Source organism: Homo sapiens, chromosome 3 (assembly GCF_000001405.40).
Source record: "Homo sapiens chromosome 3, GRCh38.p14 Primary Assembly".
NCBI classification, from domain to species: domain Eukaryota; kingdom Metazoa; phylum Chordata; class Mammalia; order Primates; family Hominidae; genus Homo; species Homo sapiens.
In genome coordinates this window covers 185,262,257-185,285,212 of record NC_000003.12, presented here as the reverse complement: position 1 = coordinate 185,285,212, position 22,956 = coordinate 185,262,257, and the positions used below count along the sequence as shown (strand labels likewise).

At 42.3% G+C, this 22,956-nt stretch overlaps 1 protein-coding gene and 1 long non-coding RNA gene across 6 annotated transcripts in view, besides 6 other annotated features; one reads left to right on the top strand and one right to left on the bottom strand.

Annotated features, from left to right (window-relative positions):
* Positions 1–2,252, bottom strand: part of MAP3K13 (mitogen-activated protein kinase kinase kinase 13) — a 206,134-nt gene extending 203,882 nt beyond the window's left edge. For all 5 annotated transcript variants that reach the window (NR_038322.2, XM_047449193.1, XM_017007456.2 and 2 more), the window contains exon 1: positions 2,186–2,252. The gene's annotated coding sequence lies outside the window, so the exon portion shown is untranslated. The remainder of the gene's footprint in view (positions 1–2,185) is intronic.
* Positions 1,641–2,347: an enhancer, noted in NCBI's record as "H3K27ac hESC enhancer chr3:185000654-185001360 (GRCh37/hg19 assembly coordinates)". NCBI's record gives its function as "activates a minimal SCP1, AML or CMV promoter by ChIP-STARR-seq in primed H9 embryonic stem cells {active_cell/tissue: H9 hESC(primed)}" and the evidence as "EXISTENCE:reporter gene assay evidence [ECO:0000049][PMID:30033119]".
* Positions 1,641–3,121: a biological region, named in NCBI's record as "BRD4-independent group 4 enhancer GRCh37_chr3:184999880-185001079".
* Positions 1,801–2,090: an enhancer, noted in NCBI's record as "active region_20920". NCBI's record gives its function as "activates an Ori minimal core promoter by ATAC-STARR-seq in GM12878 lymphoblastoid cells {active_cell/tissue: GM12878}" and the evidence as "EXISTENCE:reporter gene assay evidence [ECO:0000049][PMID:35858748]".
* Positions 1,922–3,121: an enhancer, noted in NCBI's record as "BRD4-independent group 4 enhancer chr3:184999880-185001079 (GRCh37/hg19 assembly coordinates)". NCBI's record gives its function as "activates an origin of replication core promoter dependent on BRD2, P300/CBP, MED14 and CDK7 cofactors, and independent of BRD4, by STARR-seq in HCT116 cells {active_cell/tissue: HCT116}" and the evidence as "EXISTENCE:reporter gene assay evidence [ECO:0000049][PMID:35650434]".
* Positions 2,151–2,290: an enhancer, noted in NCBI's record as "active region_20919". NCBI's record gives its function as "activates an Ori minimal core promoter by ATAC-STARR-seq in GM12878 lymphoblastoid cells {active_cell/tissue: GM12878}" and the evidence as "EXISTENCE:reporter gene assay evidence [ECO:0000049][PMID:35858748]".
* Positions 2,356–11,645, top strand: LOC124900548 (uncharacterized). The gene is made up of 2 exons (XR_007096203.1): positions 2,356–3,303; positions 4,889–11,645. It is a non-coding gene; the product is annotated as an uncharacterized LOC124900548 (long non-coding RNA).
* Positions 4,165–4,244: a silencer, noted in NCBI's record as "silent region_14973". NCBI's record gives its function as "represses an Ori minimal core promoter by ATAC-STARR-seq in GM12878 lymphoblastoid cells {active_cell/tissue: GM12878}" and the evidence as "EXISTENCE:reporter gene assay evidence [ECO:0000049][PMID:35858748]".
* Positions 11,646–22,956: the final 11,311 nt, after the last annotated feature.

Below are 22,956 nucleotides of genomic sequence, written 5' to 3'. Positions count from 1 at the left end.
TCCAGAAATCGGGAACACAAGGTTTAAGGGTATGTAAACTTAAAATTTAAATAGTGCAATAATATATTTACATGTCAACTTTTTGGAGTTTTCAGCCTATTTTAAGAACATCTTAGATTTTTACATCTAAAAAATGCTTACGAGTTTCATCTTTGTAAAACACACACACACACACACACACCCGTATGACATAAATTCAGGGTTTCCTACCCCACTATACCCCATCTAACAGTAAGATTCTGAAACCAGAGCTGCTATCTCATTATGTAGCCCATCAACATTCACCTCACTGGACTAGGTAGTAATTCATGCCAAGATTTCATTACATAGCCTGACGACAGTCTCATCTGCACTTTTTTTCCATTTGACAACCAAAACCAATCTGGTTACAGTAGTTGTTTTTTAGGTCCCTGCCCACTTTTTATCACATTTTTAAAATTAATTTTTATTTTTTAAATTTTATTTATTTATTTATATTTTATATTTATTTATTTATAGTTCCTGAGGAGTTAACTCTGTCGCCCAGGCTGGAGTGCAGTGGCACAACCTCTGCTCCTGCAACCTCCCCCTCCCGGCTTCAAGCGATTCTCGCGCCTCAGCTCCCAAGTAGCTGGGATTACAGGCTCGAGCCCCGCCCGGCTAATTTTTTCCATATTTTTAGTAGAGATGGGGTTTCACCATGTTGGCCAGGCTGGTCTCGAACTCCTGACCTCAAGTGATCCGCCCACCTTGGCCTCGCAAAGTGCTGGGATTACAGGTGTGAGCCACCGTGCCCGGCCCCACACTTTATCACATTTAAGACACCTAAGCAAGTACTTCCAACAAAGGAAACAGTTTAATCTTCTTTTGGGGACCCTCTATTAATACAACTGTTCAGAAGGAGTTAACCTTACTTATAAACACCAGCTGTAATCTCTGGATTTTTATAAATTACTATTTTCATTTTTATAATGGAAAATATAAGATATATTCTCAATTATAACATATTTTTAGTGAGTTAAAATTCTCACATCTCAAATGTAAGTAGTACACTTACTTATAAGATAAGGAAGAAAACATTAAGAAAAAGGAAAGTGGCCGCGCGTAGTGGTTCACGCCCGTAATCCCAGCACTTTGGGAGGCCGAGGCTCTACTAAAAATACAAAAATTAGCTGGGGGTGGTGGCGCGTGCCTGTAATCCCAGCTACTCGGGAGGCTGAGGGAGGAGAATCACTTGAACCAGGGGGTCGGAGGTTGCAGTGAGCCGAGATCGCCACTGTACTTCAGCCTGGCGACAGAGCGAGACTCCGTCTCAGAAAAAAAAAAAAAAAAAAAGAAAGAAAGAAAGAAAAAGGAAAGTAAGTTTACTTTGCTTAAAAGAAAGCATTAAGAACAGTCAGTGCTACAACAGCAGTTTATTTACAACGGTCCAACTCCTCCCTGGTATCATTTCCCTACAAGTTCTTCCCAGAAAAGTAAAGGAACCTGAAAGAAGCCAAAGTAAATGACTCATCCTCTCCACCCGGATAAGAATACTAAGACACATTTCTGAATTTCAATAACCATAAAAAACAAAACTAACAAAAACCAACAATGTACTGGGTATCTCCTGCACCAGCATCCTCATAAACCCCTGGTTAGCAAACTAAACTGGAGTCATTTCTACATTCAGAGGTTAGAATACTGAAATTTGGGAGAGGTTCTGCCGGGAAGCCAGAAACAGGTTGGTTGGTTCATTCATTCATTCATTCATTCATTCCTTCGACAACATCTAAAGCATGCCTACTTGTCGCAAGGCACTATGCTACGAGTTAAGAGACAAAAAGTCGAGGTCCCTGTCCCCTATTAGCAGAACAGGTCGGGGTAGGTGAACCCTAGGTCAACTCATCTCAGTGCCCCAGGCTCCGTCTCTCCAACATAAGCGCCAGTGATCGGAAACCCATGACCCCCAGCCATGTCTGATTCCTAGAAGACTCAACCTGTCTGTATTTCCTCGACGACTTCGGGCCCCAAGACCAAGTTCCCAAGAGTTCTCCATATCCTCAACCCCTCAGAGAGTCTAATGCCAAGGAGCCTTTTCTTCAGCCGCCACCTAATGCTGTCCATTACCTAACCTGTGTCCACCCGCGCTTAGGGCCCCGAGCGATCTAGGCCATCAACTCCAGCTGCCACCCTCGCCCCCCGTTCAGATCCGCCCGCAGGTTACCTGTCGGGGATCCTAGGCTCCCAGCGCATCCCAGACGCTCCGCCCCACCCATGGCGTCACCCTCCACAACCAGGTACCGCCTCCCGTGCGTAACTTCCTGTGCGCCACGTCCGGCCGGAATTCCACCGGACCCGCAGTCCCGCTGAGCGCCCGACTCGGCTAGTGACGTCACTTCCGACCTGTCTTTGAGTTCACCTGGCATCCTGATGCGCTCCAGATCTTGCTTGTCGGATTTTATTTCGCCGGTTTGCTTCTCCGCCTGTGTATCTAGCCTGGAAAAGTGCATGTTATCTTTTTGCAAACTTCTTTAGCCTTCTTTTCGGCAGCCACTTCCCTCTGCTCCTTCTGTAGCTTGGACTCATCACTGGTCAAATTCACCTGGCCTCTTGGAGAAATCATGATTGTTACTATGATTTTTCTTATTTATCTACCTAGTGGAGTGCTAAGAGTGCAGGCAGTGAGGTTGTGCTATCTGGTTTCAAGTGCTGCCTCTCACTTCTAACAGTGTTACCTGGGCATGATACTTAACCTCTCTGTGCCCACTTCAAGTGTGAAACATAATACTAGTACCTAGAAAATAGGACGATTGTATTACTTGAGATAATACGTGGAAAGCACTGGCATATTGAAAGCATTCGATGAGTGTTAACCATTACTTTTTGCACTACTATGCACTCTTATTCCCTGTTGGAACATACCTGTGCTTAAGGACAACTGGAACCAGATTTCCTGCTACCCTTTATGTCCCCCCTACTTTTTTTTATGTTTATGGATACTCGGCTTTTAATTAATTGATGATGCCTGGCACCCTCTTCGGAACTGTGAGCCCCTCCAGACAAAGTTGGAATCTTATATAGAAAACAACTTTAACCCTGCTGGAAATAACCTGCTTAGTTATTGTGCTAGTTAATGGGGGAAAGTTGAATAAAACCCAGGCCCTACCCTCAAGAACGTGGAGATACTCAATAAATGATAGTGGGAGGAAGGAAGTCAACCCAGGAAAAAGCAGAAGGGACCAGCTGAGCTGAAGATTTATCTTTGCCCAAAAATTTCGCAGAATGACAGAACTGAAAGGAACTTTTAGAGGCAATCACTTAGTCAACCTCTTGCTGTTACAGGTAAGGAAAATTGGATCCAAAGAAGCGTCTAAATGTCACACAATGAGTTTCAATGCTAGCACCAAAAGTAGAGTCTCAAAATGCTTGCCACCTCTCCCATTCCCAAAATCTGCCTCAAAATGTTAATAAGGTAAGGGTAGATTCACTTTTAAATCCTTCCCTCTCAAGTGAAAAGGATTAGGAAAATCCCAGTCCTGGAGAGACAAGGGCAATGTAACCTAGATGCCGCCTAATTGTGATGAACATCTGAATGTTTGGTGTGGCCATTGCATTCATTTGAAACACAGTATTTCCGTTCCCCTGGCAAACTTCTTATATTTACCCAGAAATAAAGAGTAAAGTATCAGCTCCTGTGAGCTCTACCTTCAATTTTAACTGGCTGGACAGGAATAAGTAACAGATCCAACAAACTCCAGAAGGTAACATAGACTCTGAATGTACGGTCAATGATGTGGCATAATTGCATTTAGTTTAATTGGAAGCAATTTCTCTTAATAACTATTCAACCTTTGTTTAGGAATATGACAGAGCTAGCATAGGCATTATTATTATTATTATTATGGAAATGTTGGTAGTGGGACCATGTAATGGAAAATAATTCAATGTTAATATTATCTCATAGGCCCATCTTGTTCCCTCATTCAACCAATGGCACTTTTTCTCCTTTGATACTAATATACTATAACTTAATACAACTAAATACAAAACAGGATGATACTTTAATCAAATTTAAAATCATTTGAATGACATATTTACGTTTCAAACAATCACAATTTACGCAGGTCTTAAAGTCAACTTGTTTGGGTTCTATGCCAAGCCCTGCTATTAACTAGCCATATGACCTTAAATCACTTTACCCCTCTGGCCTTAATTTCCTGTTTGTTCCATAGAACAAACCATGTATTAATCTGTTTAGTAGAAAACATGCATGTTACTTATCACTGTGACCACTAGATGGCAGGTGTTAAGGGACTCTTTTCCTTGCTTCCTTCTGGCTAAACAAAAACGTCATTGTCCAGTACCACCTATCTGAACAACTGCCTATACTAGTGATGATTGAGTATCCCAAGACTTTGAGAGAGGATACTCTCTAGAATGTTGAATGAATGAATGTTGAATGTTGAATGAATGAAAGGATTCCAGTATTTGTTCTGGGCCATCTATCCCTTACTACTGCCACCCCTGCCCCTTCTATTAAAACAGTTCCTCTTTTTAAAGCTATGGTGGTGGAAAGAGGAAGAAAAGATGAGATAACATAAAGAGGAGTTGGATTAGGAGGAGAACGGAGAAGAAGACATTGTATTGCATCTCAAAGTAAACATTGGTGCACTATGGTATTTTTGGATGGAATAATATGTCTAGGACTTATTTTAAAATAATACACGAGGGTATCAGATGATAACTATTGGTCATATATTGATATTGTTGTTTCATTATATTCTTGTCTCTCTTTTTGTGCATGCTGGAAATCTTCCTTAACACAAAGTCAAAAATAAGAGATCATGAGTGCATTTCTCTTTCTATAGACAAGATTGAATTCAAACTAGCCCACTGAATCTCAGGATGTTTTTGCCTGATGTTACAGAAAACTTGTCACAGATTGAGTATTCCAGATTGGAGATGAGAAGATTTTTGTTAGGAATGGAGTGGAAGCAGGATTGTTCAGAGGAAGTAGTTGAACTGCTATTCAGGTCCAGCAAATCCTCAGCCATCCTGGGAGGGAGCTTTAGAGTAAGTATTGCCCATCAAGAGTATCGTTGTCAGGCTAAAATAGCCAGCCCCTTATGCTAGATGCTGTCTGCCCTAGAAAGGGTGTAATCTCAAGCAAGGTGGCCTTCTGCAGCAGAAGCAGACCCTGAAGAAAATAGCTGGGGGCTGCCTGCTAACCGCATTCCCTGCACCTGGGCAGCAAGTGCTTCCTTGAAAGGGAATCTGGGCAGCGTATCTTTGCATCTTCCACAAAATGCAACACAAATTGGCTTAAACAATAAGGGCATATCTTGACTTCTATAACTGGAGTATTATGACAGGCATCAGGGTTGGTTGCCTCAGCAACTCGACGATATCATCCAGGACCCATATTTGTTTCTGTCTTGCTCTGCCTTCAGTAGCATCTGCTTCCACTTACGGCCAGCTTTCCTTGAGATGGCAAAATCGCTCTAGCAGCTTGTGTTCATATCTACACACTGTACACACCCTGAGGGGATGGACACACGTTCAGTGCAGGCATACCTCATTGTATTGTGCACCACTTTCTTGTGCTGCTCAGATATTGCATTTTTAACAAATTGAAGGTTTATAGCAATTTTGTGTAGAGTAAGTCTGTCAGTGCCATTTTTCTAACAGCATATCTCTGTCACGTTTTGATAATTCTTGCAGTATTTCAAACTTTTCATTATTATTATGTCTGTTACAGTGATCTGTGATCAGTGATCTTTAGTGTTACTATTGTAATTGTTTTGGGTCACCATCAACCATGCCATTAAGACAGCAAATTTAATTGATAAATATTGTGTATATTTTATTTCATCAATGGGACTTTCCCCCATCTCTGTCCCTCTCCTAGGGCCTCCCTATTCTGAAACAAAACAATATTGAAATTAGACAAATTAATAATCCTACAATGGCCTCTAAGTGTTGAAGTGAAGAGTCACATGTCTCTCACTTTAAACCAAAAGCTAGAAATGGTAAAGCTTAGTGAGGAAGACATATAGATAGCCAAGATGGGCCAAAAATTAGGCCTCTTGTGCCATATAGTTAGTCAAGTTGTAAATGTGAAGGAAATTAAAAGTGCTACTTAAGTGAACACACGAATGATAAGAAAGCAAAACAGCTTTATTGATGATATAGAGAAAGTTCTATTGATCTGGATAGAAGATCAAACCAGCCACAACATTCCCTTAAGCCAAAGCATAATCCAGAGCAAGGCCCTAACTCTCTTCAATTCTGTGAAGGCTAAGAGAGGTGAAGAAGCTTCAGAAGAAAAGTTGGAAGCCAGCAGAAGTTAATTCATGAGGTTTAAGGAAAGAAGCCTTCTCTATAACATAAAAGTGCAAGGTCAAGCAGCAAGTACTGATGAAGAAGCTGTAGCAAGTTATCCAGAAGATCCAGCTAAGATTATTGATGAAGGTGGCCACATTAAACAACAACAGATTTTCAATAAAACAGCCTCCTATTTTAAGAAGATGCCATTTAGGACTTTCATAGCTAAAGAGGAGAAGTCAGTGTCTGGCTTCAAAGCTCCAAAGGACCTGCTGATTCTCGTTAGGGTCTAATGCAACTGGTAACTTTAACTTGAAGCCAGTGCTTATTTGCCATTCTGAAAATCCTAGGGTCCTTAAGAATTACGTTAAATCTACTCTGCCTGTGCTTTATAAGTGGAACAAAAAAGCCTGGATGATAGCACATCTGTTTACAGCATGATTTACTGAATATCTTAAGCCCACTGGTGAGATCTGCTGCTTTAAAAAATAAAATTCCGGGCGGGCGCGGTGGCTCACGCCTGTAATCCCAGCACTTTGGGAGGCCAAGGCGGGTGGATCACGAGGTCAGGAGATCGAGACCATCCTGGCTAACACGGTGAAACCCGTCTCTACTAAAAATACAAAAAAAATTAGCCAGGTGTGGTAGCGGGCACCTGTGGTCCCAGCTACTCGGGAGGCTGAGTCAGGAGAATGGTGTGAATCCGGGAGGCGGAGCTGGCAGTGAGCCGAGACTGCGCCACTGCACTCCAGCCTGGGTGACAGAGCGAAACTCGGTCTCAAAAAAAAAAAAAAAAATTCCTTCAAAATATGGCAGCTCATTGACAATGCATCTGTTATCCAAAAGCTCTGATGGAGGTATACAAGGAGATGAATGTTATTTTCATGCCTGCTAACACAGCTTCCATTCTGCAGCCCATGGATCAAGGAGCAATTTCAAATCTCAAGTCTCATTATTTAAGAAATACATTTCAGCCAGGTATGGTGGTTCATGCCTGTAATCCCAGCACTTTGGGAGACCGAGGTGGGCAGATCACCTGAGGTCAGGAATTCAAGACCAGCCTGGCCAACATGGTGAAACCCCATCTCTACTAAAAATACAAAAATTAGCTGGGCATGGTGGCGCATGCCTGTAATCCCAGCTACTCGGGAGGCTGAGGCAGAAGAATTGCTTGAACCCAGGAGGTGCAGGTTGCAGTGAGCCGAGATCGTGCCATTGCACTCCAGCCTGGGCAACACAGCGAGACTCTGTCAAAAAAAAAAAGAAGTAGAAATACATGTCATAAGCTATAGCTGTCAATAGATAGTGATTCCTCTGATGGATCTGGGCAAAGTAAATTGAAAACTTTCTGGAAAGGATTTACCATTCTAGATGCCATTAAGAACATTTGTGACTAATGAGAATATTTGACAAATTTGAAGAGTATTCTGAACAAACAACATAGCAACTAGAAATACCTTACCATATGAGAAATGATAGTCCCTGAGAAAGCCCCTAAGAGGAACAGCTTAGGGCAGACTTGTTAGTATCTTTAAATATTTGATGAAAGACCATTCTATTAAAGATAAATTTAATGTATAATGCTTGAGTAGGTAAAAATATCAACATTAATAAGAGTTTGGAAGTTTGGAAGAAGTTGATTCCAACCCACATGGATAACTTGAGGGGTTCAAGACTTCAGTGTAGGAAGAAAGTGCAAATGTGGTAGAAATAGGAAGAGAACTAGAATTAAAAGTGGAGCCTTAAGATGGGACTGAATTGTTGCAATCTCATGATAAAATGTGAGGGAATGAGGAGTTGCTTCTTATGAATGAGCAACGAAAGTGGTTTCTTGAGATGAAATCTACTTCTGGTGAAGATGTGAACACTGTTGAAATGACAACAAATGATTTGGAATATTACATAAACTTAGTTGACAAGGCAGCGGCAGGGTTCGGGAGGATTGACTCCAATTTTGAAAGAAATTCTCCTGTGGATAAAATGCTACCAAACAGCATTGCCTGATACAGAGGAGTGTTTCATGAAAGGAAGAATCCATTGATGTGGCAAACTTTATTGTTGTCTTAAGAAATTGCTCCCTTTTCTCATCTGTCGCCAAGGTGCTCTGTCATGAAGAAATTAAAGCTGCATTGGGGTGAGGCCCACTTCACTCAGTGACTAACACCGCGCCTGGCAGAGACAGCCCTGCATTACCCACACCACGGCCTCTGTCTTCATCTCCAAGCTCCACTCCATCTACTTGACCCTCACCCTGCATGCTGATGAGGTGACCATCACAGAGAAGATCAATGCCCTCATTAAAGCACCTGCTGTAACTGTTGAACCTTTTTGGCCTGGCTTGTTTGCAAAGGCCCTGGCCAGTGTCAACATCAGAAGCCTCATCCCCCATGTAGGGGCGGCATACCTGCTCCACAATGGCTGAATCCCCAGGCTTAAAATCAAGGCACTTTGTTAGGGAAACCTGGAAAGAAATAACAACTGCTGGAACATTTGAGTTATATCAACCTGTTTTGCCTTGAACTCAACAATGCATCATATATTAGGTGTATTCTATTTGCTACTCAAAGCAGATGGAAACGTAATATTAGAGAAAAGGCAACTCAATTTGATTCCTCTTAAAGGTACATAACACTAATAATGGCTAACAATATGAATATTTTTATTGAGTGCTTTCCATAAGCCAGACAAATTCTAAATATGTATTCTCACAAAAGGGAGAAGACCATGCTTGGTAATAAAGAAAGATATATCTAAGAACAAATACTTTAGTAATTTTTTAAAAACTGACAAGTGTTGGCAAGGTTATGGAGACATTGGAAACCTCATGCATTGCTAGTGTGAATGTCAAATGGCATAGCCACTTTAGAAAGCAGTTTGGGGCTGGGCATGGTGCCTCATGCCTATAATCCCAGCACTTGGGGAGGCTGAGGTGGGCGGATTACTTGAGGCCAGGAGTTCAAGACCAGCCTAGCTAACATGATCAAACCCTGTCTCTACTAAAAATACAAAAAAAAAAAATACAAAAATTAGCCAGGCATGGAGGCATGCACCTATAATCCCAGGTACTTGGGAGGCTGATGCAGGAAAATCACGTGAACCTGAGAGACGGAGCTTGCAGTGACCCAAGATCGCACCACCACACTCCAGCCTGGACAACAGAGCGAGACTCCATCTCAAAAAAAAAAAAAAAAAAAAAAATGAAGAAAGCAAGAAAGCAGTTTGGTAATTCCTCAGTAAGTTAAGCAGAGTTACCATATGACCTAGCAATTCGACTCCTAGATATATACTCAAGAGAATTTATGCAAAAATTTGTATATGAAATGAATAGTTCATGAAAAATTTCATATACATATTCATATACTAGTAGCCAAAAAGTAGAAATAACCCAGATATCTATCAACTTGTGAATGAATAAACAAAATACAGTTTATTTTTGCAATGAAATATTCGGCCATAAAAAGAAACGAAGTATTGATACATGCTACAACATGGATGAAACTTGAAAACATTATTCTAAGAGAAAGAAGCCAGACACCAAAGGCCACATGTCATGTGATTCCCTGTATTTGAAAAATCTAGAAAAGGCAAACCCATAGAAACAGGTTAGTGTGTCTATTAGAGTAGATTGGTGGTTGCCAAGAATAGAGAGAAAGAGGAATGGTAAGGGACTGTTAATGGATAAAGGATTTCTTTTTGAAGTCATTAAAATGTTCTGAAATTAGAGAGTGGTGATGGTCGCACGACCTTGTGAATATACTAAAAACCACTCAGTTTTATACTTTAAAAGAGTGAATTGTTTGCCACCAGCCTGGGCAACATGGCAAAACCCTGTCTCTACAAAAAAAATACACAATTTAGCCAGATGTGGTGGCACACACCTGTAGTCCCAGCTGCTCAGGAGGCTGAGGTGGGAGGATCACTTGAGCCGAGAAGGTTGAGGCTGCAGTGAGCCGTGTGCATCACTGTACTCGAGCCTAGAAGACCCTGTCTCAAAAATAAAATAAAAGGGTGAATTGTATGGTATATGAGTTATACCTCAATAAAAAATTAATTATCCCTTTTAAGAAAAAAAAAAAAACAACACACCAGGTGCGTTGGCTCATGCCTGTAATCCCAGCATTTTGGGAGGCCAAGGTGGGCAGATCACTTGAGGTCAGGGGTTTGAGACCAGCCTGGCCAACATGGTAAAATCCCGCCTCTACTAAAAATACAAAAATTAGCCAGGCATGGTGGTGCATGCCTGTAATCCCAGCTACTCAGGAGGCTGAGGCATGAGAATTGCTTGAACCTGGGAAGCAGTGGTTGCAGTGAGCCAAGATCATGCCACTGCACTCCAGCCTGGGCAACAGAGCGAGACTCTGTCTCAAAAACAAACAAACAAACAAAAAAACACTTTCCTGGAAGTTTGAAAGGGGGGAAAAACCCTGTCTTTATAGTTTTAAAAGAGAGAGCAAACATGAGTTAAGGAAACACGAATATGGCCCAATTGATGAGAGGTACAGAATACAGGGAATGGATGCTCGGCGAAGGATATGAACAGACACTTCTCAAAGGAAGACATTTATGCAGCCAAAAGACACATGAAAAAATGTTCATTATCACTGGCCATCAGAGAAATGGAAATCAAAACCACAGTGAGATACCATCTCACACCAGTTAGAATGGTGATCATTAAGAAGTCAGGAAACAACAGGTGCTGGAGAGGATTTGGAGAAATAGGAACACTTTTACACTGTTAGTGGGACTGTAAACTAGTTCAACCATTGTGGAAGTCAGTGTGGCGATTCCTCAGGGATCTAGATCTAGAAATACCATTTGACCCAGCCATCCCATTACTGGGTATATAACCAAAGGATTATAAAACATGCTGCTATAAAGACACATGCACACGTATGTTTATTGAGGCACTATTCACATTAGCAAAGACTTGGAACCAACCCAAATGTCCAACAATGATAGACTGGATTAAGAAAATGTGGCACATATACACCATGGAATACTATGCAGCCATAAAAAATTATGAGTTCATGTCCTTTGTAGGGACATGGATGAAGCTGGAAACCATCATTCTCAGCAAACTATCGCAAGGACAAAAAACCAAACACCGCATGTTCTCACTCATAGGTGGGAATTGAACAATGAGAACACATGGACACAGGAAGGGGAACATGACACACTGGGGCCTGTTGTGGGGTGGGGGAGCGGGGAGGGATCGCATTAGGAGATCTACCTAATGTTAAATGACGAGTTAATGGGTGCAGCACACCAGCATGGCACATGTATACATATGTAACAAACCTGCACGTAGTGCACATGTACCCTAAAACTTAAAGTATAATAAAAAATTTTTTAAAAAAAGAGTCATTGACGAATTCAAAGAGTATTCTGAACAACCACCATAGCAGCTAGAAATACCTTACCATATGAGACATGGTAGTCCCTGAGAAAGCCCCTAAGAGGAACAGCTTAGGGCAGACTTGTTAGTATCTTTAAATATTTGATGAAAGACCATTCTATTAAAGAGAGATTTAATATATAATTCTTGAGAACAAAAGTAGAATCATGTAGGGGAAGGTCACAGGGAATAGAATAGGGACTATTTTTTTTTTAAGTAAACAGAACTCTACCATGAAGAGTACTGTGCTCCCCATCACTGGAAGCATTCAGGGGAATGAGTAATCTTTTATCTTTTGCCAGGAATGGTGGTAAAGCATTCCTGTATTAGAAAGAATACACAACGTAAGTTACCTGGGGCATATCTCCAACATATATGTATGTAGCCTTTTTCTTACTAGGGTCAGTTTGTCAGAAAAGCTGAAAGGAATGATCATTGGCAAATGAAATATTCTCTGAAAAGAATGATATACAGTGGGAAATTGGGAGAGAGACCTGCGAACGATAGCCTAATTGCATTTTCAACACGAAATGAAATTGGATGTTGGAGAATGCCGAGATGTCATAAAAGGTGCTTATGGTGTTGAAAAGCGACATTTCTTGTATGATTTTCAGTTCAGAAGCTGACAGAGATGACATATGTAATGAAAAACTACCTGCAGACCTAAAGCGATAAGCCAGGCTCACTGAAAAGCTGAGAAGTTGAAACATGAGAAATAGCAGTGAATGCATTCTCAGATCAATTTTTGGCTGTGTTCAGCTCAGATTTGGTTGCAGCATATGGCTGTGAACTTTAAATATGCTCAATAATACATCATTGATCTCTGACTAATTTCACCTGATGAAGATAACACGCGATTGAGTCATTTTTGCCACAATTGGGTTTTCTTTAGGAATCCTGACGGCTTCTATTAAACATTAATATAATGAATATATGTATATCTCCAAGGCTCAACACTTGACACTTGAACAAGCCACTTGAAATTATATAAATCATCATTACTGATATTCTTTGTGTCAACCTAAGAAACCAGCAGAGAGACTCTCTAAAAATATTGAGTTTAATTGGGAATAAGCAGAAGAACTGCAATCCAGAACACTGGGGCCATAGTAAACTGTGGGCATATTTGAGGAGGTTGAGGTAAGGGAAAACTTTTAAAGGCAAAAGAAGTACACATAATTTGTTTTGAAACAAAGAGAACATTGGTTACAGTGGCTTATCACAGAAGATGATGTCAGTTCATTAGTGGAGACAGTGTACCAGGCAAGCATTCTTGCGCATTTGGCTAGCTGTCCTGTGATTCATGAAGCAAGATGCAGGTTAGAAAGTCTTTGGCAAAAGTTCTTGTTACAGGCATATGTGCATAAGAGCATAAGAGACTTTCAGAGTCTTTGTTATAGTTCTTATCATAGGCATGTGTGCAGGAGGGCTTTCCCTTTCTAACCTGACTCTTTTTTTGTTTGGGTTTGACATGAGTGACTCCATCTTGAGATTGACAACTTTCACATTGGTATTGTGAAGAAGTTATTTTCATCCTATCTCTCTTTTTTTTTTTTTTTTTTTTTTTTGAGATGGAGTCTCACTCTGTTGCCCAGGCTGGAGTGCAGTGGCGCGATCTTGGCTCACTGCAACCACCACCTCCTGGGTCCAAGCGATTCTGCCTCAGCCTCCCGAGTAGCTGGGACTACAGGCGTGTGGTACCACGCCCGGCTAATTTTGTATTTTTAGTAGAGACAGGGTTTCACCATGTTGGCCAGGCTGGTCTCGAACTCCTGACCTCAGGTGATCCGCCTGCCTCAGCATCCCAAAGTGCTGGGATTACAGGGGTGAGCCACCACGCCTGGCCATCCTATTTCTCATTTCAAACATTTATGTGAGTTGCTTTTTTCCTTGAATGTCAGCCAACTTCACCCTGGAAGATTGTACCCAGTGCCCATTTAGGGCAGGGTAAAATTTGTTAACAAACAGACTCAAATTTATTTCTTGCTTCCTTAACAGTCTTTAATCACCCAGACTGGAAAGCATTATTTTGTTTATTCCAGAAAAACCTGATTGGTTTACCAGAGAAGTCAGTTTTGATGGCTTCGTGTCACTATTGAATGACATTTCACATGCAGCACCCTGGGTTCCAGGGCTAATAGATCACCATTGCAGGGAAAGCTGGGTTTAGATAGCCATTTCTGTTCTTCCTATGACAATAGATTTGCATGTTCTAGCAGGCAAAAGCTCGGCATTTGCATTGAAATCCAGCTCACCGTTTGCCTTCTGGGCATTATGCTAAATTATAGTGTTTCCATTCTTTTATCTTTGTTTTAAGCTTTAATGAACCACTTCTGATGAACTGATCTGCTTTTGTGAATTAGGGATATAATGCGACATAATGACAACAAGCCCAACCAACGCATTTAACAAGCAAAAGCACTAACATGAAAATGGTGTGGAAGTGCATTAGCCAAGAGGACCAGCATCCTGTTAAGTAGCAATTACTGAAACAAATTAAATGAGGAGATAATTTAAGAATATATCAGATCATAACAATGATAAGGAGACTGTCAAGTGGTCAAGCAGTCTATAAGCAGTAGCATGGTAGCAGCTGCTAAATTGGCTTGTCTTCCATAGACTCAGCAAGTAAGAAGCCCAGATGGATTTAGACAGTTTAGTATTTACTGGAAAAGAAAGTCAGCATGGTGTCAGCTCCCTGTATCCCTAGTATCACAGCATGACACCAAACAGAGGAACCAGATGACAGATGTCAGGAATGGTGAGTTGCTCTGTTGCTGAGGAGCAGGGCAGGATCAGCATTGCACAGCCCTGTTACTGTGCCCCCCAGTTTTGTCCACTAGGTGTCTTTCTTGCCTCACCCTAGTCCCTGCCCTGTTAAGAGCCAACCCTAAACTACTGCGAAGCATTTTTATAGATCTTCACAGAAGCTTGCAGCCGAACCCTTAGGTGGGGGCACAAGGCAGAAAGTTCTGCATTCAGTTGAAACTAGGAGGATAAATGAGAAATGGCCTGTGACAGACTCCTACCAGACAGAGGAGAGCCTGCCTCAAAGTGGCTCCGCACCATGCTCATTATCTCGCCTTGCTCCAGGAGGAATTTCAGGCTATTCAGAGCTGTGAAGCCTTGCCTACTTAGCCTTTGTGGAGATGTTCAAAGTTGCTAGAACACCCTGGCAGGGTTGTTCCTCTAAAGACCAATATCTGAAGCAAGATGACTGAATTTATTGCTTGCTATAGTAAGGGAAAACTGTGCTGGCTATGCACAGTCTCTCCAAGCAGAACAAGCTGTTGATCTTACATAGAGTTTTAGGGCACAGTGGAGTTCAGGGATCAGCGAATTTGCAGAGGTGTTAGAGATTGATATCTCACCTGTAAGAAGGTGATTGCTGTGATGAGGCTGTTGTTGATTGTCAACACACGGAAGCATGTGCTTAGGACTGTTTATGATTGGCTGTCATCGAGACATTGTCATTGACCATTGAGGCAGTTGTCCTTGCTGAATTGAATGGGGTCTCAACTGCTACTGTTACCAGGGCTTCAAGGCAGTCAGTACTTTTCTAGTAGAAGCCCAAATTCAGGCTCTTGTACCCGATGTGCAATTGATGCCAAACACTGACACATAGCAGTTTGGAGATAGAGGAAGGTTTGTTCTATTTGGCCAAAGCAACAAGGTAGGAAAGCAAGATGTCTCAAATCCATGTTAACAAAAAGAAAAAGCAGGGAATTTTTATGTGGCTAGAGAATAAAGGAGGGAGAGTTTTAGGGAATCAAGGTGAAAAGTCTGTTTCTTCAGTCCCACATAACACCTTGAACAACCAGAGTTCTGGGCGTCAGCAGCTGGTTGCAATAGCTTTCAATGCATTCATTCCTTCGGCAAACACCTTTTGTGACCCTGAAGTTATCTCCTCCCACTTGACAAAGAAACAGCACATCAGAAGTTTATAGTTATATTGTGGGAAAAACGGATATTGGGTAAAAAGCGAGTGGTTAACATGAGCAAGCAAGCAAGGTCCTGATCAGAATTCTCATTATTTCAGTCACTGAAAAATGCTGGGGTGCTGAAAATCTCAAGTGACCCAGTTACAGTAGTAGTGTTGCAGGCAAACCCCCAAATTTAGGTTCAGCTCACGAGGCCAATTGGGTTCTTGGCTTCACACGAGAAAGAATTCAAGAGCAAGCCAACAGGCTGGGAGCAGTGGCTCATGCCTGTAATCCCAACACTTTGGGAGGCTGAGGCGGGTGCATCATCTGAAAGTCAGGAGTTCGAGACCAGCCTGGCCAGCATGGCGAAACCCCATCTCTACTAAAAATACAAAAATTAGCCAGGCATGGTGGCGCGTGCCTGTAACCCCAACAACTCGGGAGGCTGAGGCAGAAGAATTGCTTGAACCCAGGAGGCAGAGGTTGCAGTAAGCCGAGAGGGCGCCACTGCACTCCAGCCTAGGCAAAAGAGGGAGATGCCGTCTTAAAAAAATAATAAAAAAAGAGCAAGCCGACAGAGTAAAGTGAAAACAAGTTTATTAAAAAGTAAAGGAATAAAAGAGTGGCTGCTCCATAAGCAGAGCAGGGTACCCCATATGCAGAGTAGCATTGAGGGAGATGCTAGCTGGCTATTTTATAGCTATTTGATTATATGCTATGCAAGGGGTGGATTACTCATGAGTTTTCTGGGAGCTCCTGGAACTGGGGGTTTCTCCCCCATCCAGACCATACAGGGTAACTTCTGGATGTTGCCATGGCATTTGTAAACTATCATGACACTAGTGGGAGTGTTTGTTAGTATGCGAATGCATTATAATTAGCATATAATGAGTACTGAAGGTTGCTTTTTTGCCATCTTGCTTCTAGCTGGTTTAGGCTGGTTTCTTTACGGTCTCCTGTCTTATCAGTGTGGTCATGTGACCTGTTGTTTACTGTCTCCTGTCTTTATCAGTGGGGTCTTGTGACCCACTGTTTTGGGAACTGATCCTTGCAGGCATTATTAAGCTGTTTCCTTAGCCTTAAACATCTTATGACTGCTGGTCATCACTGGCAAGGGATGTGCCTTGCTAGTTTTAAGATGGAGTTGATTTTAAAATGGTGTTACCCTGGGTCTCCCATGCTTCTATTTCCCTAACATAATCCTCCCTTTGCTTATCAGAGAACCCTTAATCTTAAGGAGAGATGAAGGACAAAAGTCATTCTTCTGTAACTTCTTCCTGCTGATTTTATGAGCATAGCCCTGCCTAGTAAAGGAGGAGTAAAAATATCTGGATGCCTGATCTAAGAGGCCTAAAGGCAGGATGTCTTTATTTCCCAACTCAGAAGATAGGACAGGTTAGAAGCCTTGTGCCAGCATCATCTTTATATGGGATTATTATAATCTAGATGACACAAATTTCACCAAGATGTTAAACAAGCAAGAGCCAAAGATTAGTAATAACAAGATAGCCATCAAAGGTCCTAGGAAGGGCAAAAACCAAGTAAGACTTGGGAGGGCACTTTTAATGAGAAGTTGCCCCATGGGGCCAACGAGCTCCAACCCTAGCCAATATAAGTCCAGTTGCCCACGTAGCGCTCAGGTGAGTGATGTCATATAATTGTATGTTAGGGGGCTCTGCTTGTCCTATTGTACATTGATCCAGAAACCAAACATTATCAATATCCTGGTAACCATGTGTTTTATGATCCCAAACGAAACACAAGTTATTTATAGGCTGATTGAACGGGTGACCACATAGCCATAGATATCCATTGGGGGTGCAAATCTGTATGGGATAGGAGTTGTTAAGAAGGCTGAGTACCTGTAGGAGGGACTAAGGCTGTTACTTATGTGTTTATTTGCAAAACAACAGCTTTAGGTGTCCTAGGGGTTCACAAGTGTAGGTCACGGTGTCTTTCTCAGGTGCCTGTGGGGCCTTATAAGAAACAGGTTTAATCTTTGGCAAGTATACCCAGCTAGTGACTCCCTCAAATTTAACAACAGTTGAAGTGCTTAGCAACACCTGATAGGGGCCCTTCCATTTTGGTTAAAATTGATCTTCGGGGAATCCTTGTCTCCAAGTTTTTAATAAGACTAAGTCTCCTGGTTGAACAGGGAAGCTACGAATATTTATGAAAATGGTCCTGATGCATGTATATTGAACAAACACGGAAGTAACATATGACTGTTTACCTTGGGGTGGAGAATTAAGCCTTCCTTGGCATAATCTTAGATTCTGTTTATAATTTGATATTTTATTGCCATGAAGAATCTGTCAGTCTTATAAGCTCTATTTTAATATTAAGGCTGGTCAGTTGTGCCTGAATTCCAAGGGGTGGTGGGGGGAGTATAGCAAGGTGTGTCCAACCCCCCATTTCCTTCATGGGCTGAACTAGTTTTTCAGGTTTTTTTTTTTTATTATTCTTTTTGGCCAAGAGGGGTGTTCATTCTGTTGGGGGGCTTAGGATTTTATTTTTGTTCATATATTTCCTTTTTTTGTCAAGGTATGAAAGAGGCAGTATCAATAGCCAAGTTTTATTTTGTCCCATATTGATGCTGGGGTGACTTGCCACCTGCCTCGGGTCCATCATGTCCTTCAGTGGGAACCCTGTGGCAAGGGACTTAGAGTCAAAAGATTTATAGCCAATTAAACATTACAGGCCAGATGGGAATGGAGATGGACAGGCATTCATCAACCCTTAAAACCCCTTTTAAGCAACCTACGAGCCAAAAACAAAGGTCATAAAATTGACTTTTCTATAAATTCTATGCATTGATCTATTGTAATCTTGGCTTTAGCAATTAGCTATACAAGACACAAGCATTTTTTTTTTCAGCTGCATAGGCATCTGTGCACCTGGCCTCGATTAGGAGGGTCTGAATTAATTTTATCCCTCAGGACCAGCCCTAACAATCTCATGTGATAGTCCCTGGGCCGCCTGGAGGGATTTAATAGTTTTAAATTCTGTAGGTAAAACAAAATATTTAAAAATTAGCAACGTTTTAAACAAAAGGTCATAGGCCTTGCCTAATTCTAAAGAATGATAGGAAAGGAAGCCCATAGGTAGCCAAACATTTAAATTATTTAGTATCAAGGCATAGAAAAAATTATATAATTTCAGATAAAGGCAAAATTATTAAATGAAATGAATTTTAATGTTTTGAATACAGGTCTGTCCCTGTGTCTCACAAAAGCAGTTTATGGCTGGGCGAGGTGGCTCACGCCTATAATCCCAGCACTTTGTGAGGCTGAGGTGGGCAGATCACCTGAGGTCAGGAGTTCGAGACCAGCCTGGCCAACATGGTGAAACCCCATCTGTACTAAAAATGCAAAAATTAGCTGGGCGTGCTGGCAAGCACCTGTAATCTCAGCTACTTGGGAGGCTGAGGCAGGAGAATTGCTTGAACCTGGGAGGCGGAGGTTGCAGTGAGTCGAGATTGAGCCATTGCACTCCAGCCTGGGCAACAGAGCCAGGGAGACTCCGTCTCAAAAAAAAAAAAAAAAAAAAAAGCAGTTTACTTTGCCACTTTTGCTCAGGTCTAAAGACAAGGCTTTGGTTAACTTGGGTTTGGTGTGAGATACTGGCAGGACTCAATGTCTTCTTCAGATGAGATATGTGTACCCAGGAGTCAAAGCCCTGTAACATAGCACAAGGATTAATTAATAACACCTGATAAGGACCCTTTTAAGGGGACAAGAAGGAGTCCTTTAACTGGTTTTCTTCCAGCATATGTAATTATGAGGCTTAAGGTGGTGATACTGGAGTTCATGGTCTGACTAGAAGCTGTAGAAAGATTCTACAGCCTTGCAGTGATTAATTTTTGTAGCCTCAATAAGCCCCGGTAATAAGACTGAGAGACTTAATTTAGGATGTTGATTTTGAGGACATTTGTTTAAGATGTAAACAGGCTCAAAACATTTGATTAAAACAGAATCACAGGTTATTGTAAAATAAGTCATACATTTAACCAAGAGTGATAAGTGATAATTAAAAAACCTCAAAGGCAATACAGAAAGTTAAATGGATGTAAAAACTGTAACCCTTTTAAATATCAGATGGTTTTTTGTTTTTTAAGACGGAGTTTCGCTTTTGTTGCGCAGGCCTGAGTGCAATGGCATGATCTTGGCTTACCGCAACCTCCGCCTCCCAGTGTTACAGGGTGAGTCTTTGTTCTTAGAACTCCCAAGATGGTGGCGGCTGCTCCCAAGATGGTGGCGGCCACTCCCAAGATGGCAGCAAGACTTTTGTTCTCTGACTTGGGGTTCTTTTCCTCATGGATAACAAGGAATAGAACCTTGGGCCATGCGGTGAGTGTTATAGCTCTATTAGAAGCCATGGGTCATGGAAGAGAACCATGGAGCCCAGCAACTAGTGTTCAGCTCATTTAGGACGAACCTGGGCACTTAGCCATGCAGGAACAATGACTTTAGCCTGATCGGGAGCAGCAATGGGCGCCTTGCTGGGTGGATCAGGAGCTCAGCCGACACCCTGCCGGATCCGGAGGGGTGGGAGTCAACAGCGGGTCTGCGACGGCGGCACTCAGCAGTGGTGGATGGCGAGAGAAAGCTCAGCTCGAGCCGGAACAAACACGGACCAGAAGAGTGTGCAGTTGCAAGATTTAATAGAGTGAAAACAGAGCCCCCATACAATGGGAGGGGACCCAAAGGGGGTTGCCCCTACCGGCTCGAATGCTGGGGGTTTATATCCCGATCATTGTCCCTCCCTGTGTGCTCTCAGGCGATACATGATTTGACTATTTCTTTACCTCCTGCTTTTAGCCTAATTTGTATTTTAGTGAGCCCTCTTTACTACCTAATTGGTCAGGTGTGAGCTGAGTTACAAGCCCCGTGTTTAACGGTGAGTGCGGTCGCCTTCCCCAGCTAGGCTTAGGAATTCTTAGTCAGCCTAGGAAATCCAGCTAGTCCTCTCTCACCAGGTTCAAGCGATTCTCCTGCCTCAGCTCCCAAGTAGCTGGGATTACAGGCATGCACCACCATGCCCGGCTACTTTTGTATTTTTAGTAAGAGACAGGGTTTCTCCATGTTGGTCAGGCTGGTCTCGAACTCCCAACCTCAGGTAATCTGCCCGCCTCGGTCTCCCAAAGTGTTGGGATTACAGGCATGAGCCACTGTGCTGGGCCTGTTTTGTTTTTTGTTTGTTTGTTTTAGCAATCAAAAACCTAATAAAGACAGCATAGGAATGATAAAATCTTATTTCTTAAGCCGGTTACCAAAAAGACAAAGAAAAACCTATTGCAGCGTGACTGCTTCTACTTATGGGAAGCCCATTTAGATAACCTGGAAGTCAAACTTGATAAAAGTGCTTGAATTTAATCAGACACAGAAAGAGTGTGTTCAAGGTTATGAGGATAGCAGGGGGAATACATGACTCTAAGGAATAGTATGAAAAGTTTTCTGACGGATGTGGTGGCTCACACCTGTAATCCCAGCACTTTGGGAGGCCAAGGCTGGCGGATCACAAGGTCAGGAGATCGAGACCATCCTGGCTAACATGGTGAAAACCCGTCTCTACTAAAAATACAAAAACTTAGCTGGGCGTGGTGGCGGGCGCCTGTAGTCCCAGCTACTCAGGAGGCTGAGACAGGAGAATGGCATGAACCCAGGAGGCAGAGCTTGCAGTGAGCCAAGATCACGCCACTGCACTCCAGCCTGGGCGACAGAGTGAGACTCTGTCTCAAAAAAAAGAAAAAAGAGAAAGAAAAGAAGAGTTTTCTGATTACATTGAAAATTTTGGCATATCAAGAAAAGCCAAAAGTACAGAATCAGGTTATGCTACAGGAAAACATTGCTTTTCTAGACCTTCAAGATAATACATTTTAGCATCAGGTCATAATAGTTAGAATTAGAGGAAATGAAAGAAAGTTACAGGAGCTGGCAAAAAAGCTGAAGGAAAGATCATCTCAGGCCTTCTCAAGCAGAAAAAAAGCTGAGAGCAGCAAAACTTGGCAAAAGTTGAACTTCTGAGATGTGATTCTGAGTTTTTAAAAGAAATAGGCAGGCTGGGCGCAGTGGCTCACACCTGTAATCCCAGCACTTTGGGAGGTCGAGGCAGGCAGATCACCTGAGGTCGAGAGTTCGAGATCAGCCTGACCAACATGGAGAAACCCCATCTTTAATAAAAATACAAAATGAGCCGGGCGTAGTGGCGTATGCCTGTAATCCCAGCTACTCGGGAGGCTGAGGCAGAAGAATCACTTGAACCTGGGAGGTGGAGGTTGTGGTGAGTCGAGATCGCACCATTGCACTCCAGCCTGGGCAACAAGAGCAAAACTCCATTTCCAAAAAAAAAAAAAAACATAGGCCAGGCACAGTGGCTCACGCCTGTAATCCCACTTCAGCAGTCTGAGGCGGGGGGATCACTTGAGGCCAGGAGTTTAAGACCAGCCTGACCAACATGGTAAAACCTCGTCTCTACTAAAAGTACAAAATTTAGCCAGGCGTGATGGTGCATGCCTGTAATCCCAGTTACTCGGTAGGCTGAGGCAGGAGAATCGCTTGAACCTGGGAGGTGGAGGTTGCAGTGAGCTGAGATCATGCCACTGCACTCCAGCCTGGGCAACAAGAGCGAGACTCCATCTCAAAATAAATAAATAAATAAAATTTTTTTTAATTAAAAATTTTTAATTTTAATTTTAATTACAGGTGTGGTGGCTCACGCCTGTAATCCCAGTACTTTGGGAGGCTGAGGCAGGAGAATTGCTTGAACCTGGGAGGCGGAGGCTGCAGTGAGCCAAGACTGTGCCACTGCACTCCAGCCTGGGCAACACAGCGAGATTCTGTCTCTAAAAAAATAAATAATATAAATAAAGGAAATAGATTATAAAATTGAAAGTAAAATTTTTTCTAATTTCAGTAAGAGCAAATCAATACCTTAGGAAAATCTTGTTTTAATATAGGGGACCAATCTTAAAAGACTATTATAAATAATTCCCTTTAAATTATAGCTAACTATGTGTGGTGCAACGCAGGGTGAACTCGAATGTGTTTCAGGTGACTTAAACCCTCTTTTTTTTTTTTTTTTTTTTGAGACGAATTCTCGTTCTGTCACTCAGGCTGGAGTGCAGTGGCGTGATCTTGGCTCACTGCAAACTCCACCTTCCAGGTTAAAGTGATTCTCCTGCCTCAGCCTCCTGAGTAGTTGGGACTACAAGTGTGTTCCACCACGCCTGGCTAATTTTTGTATTTTTAGTAGAGATGGGGTTTCACCACGTTGGCCAGGCTGGTTTCAAACTCCTGACCTCATGATCCACCCGCCTCGGCTTCCCAAAGTGCTGGGATTACAGGCGTGAGC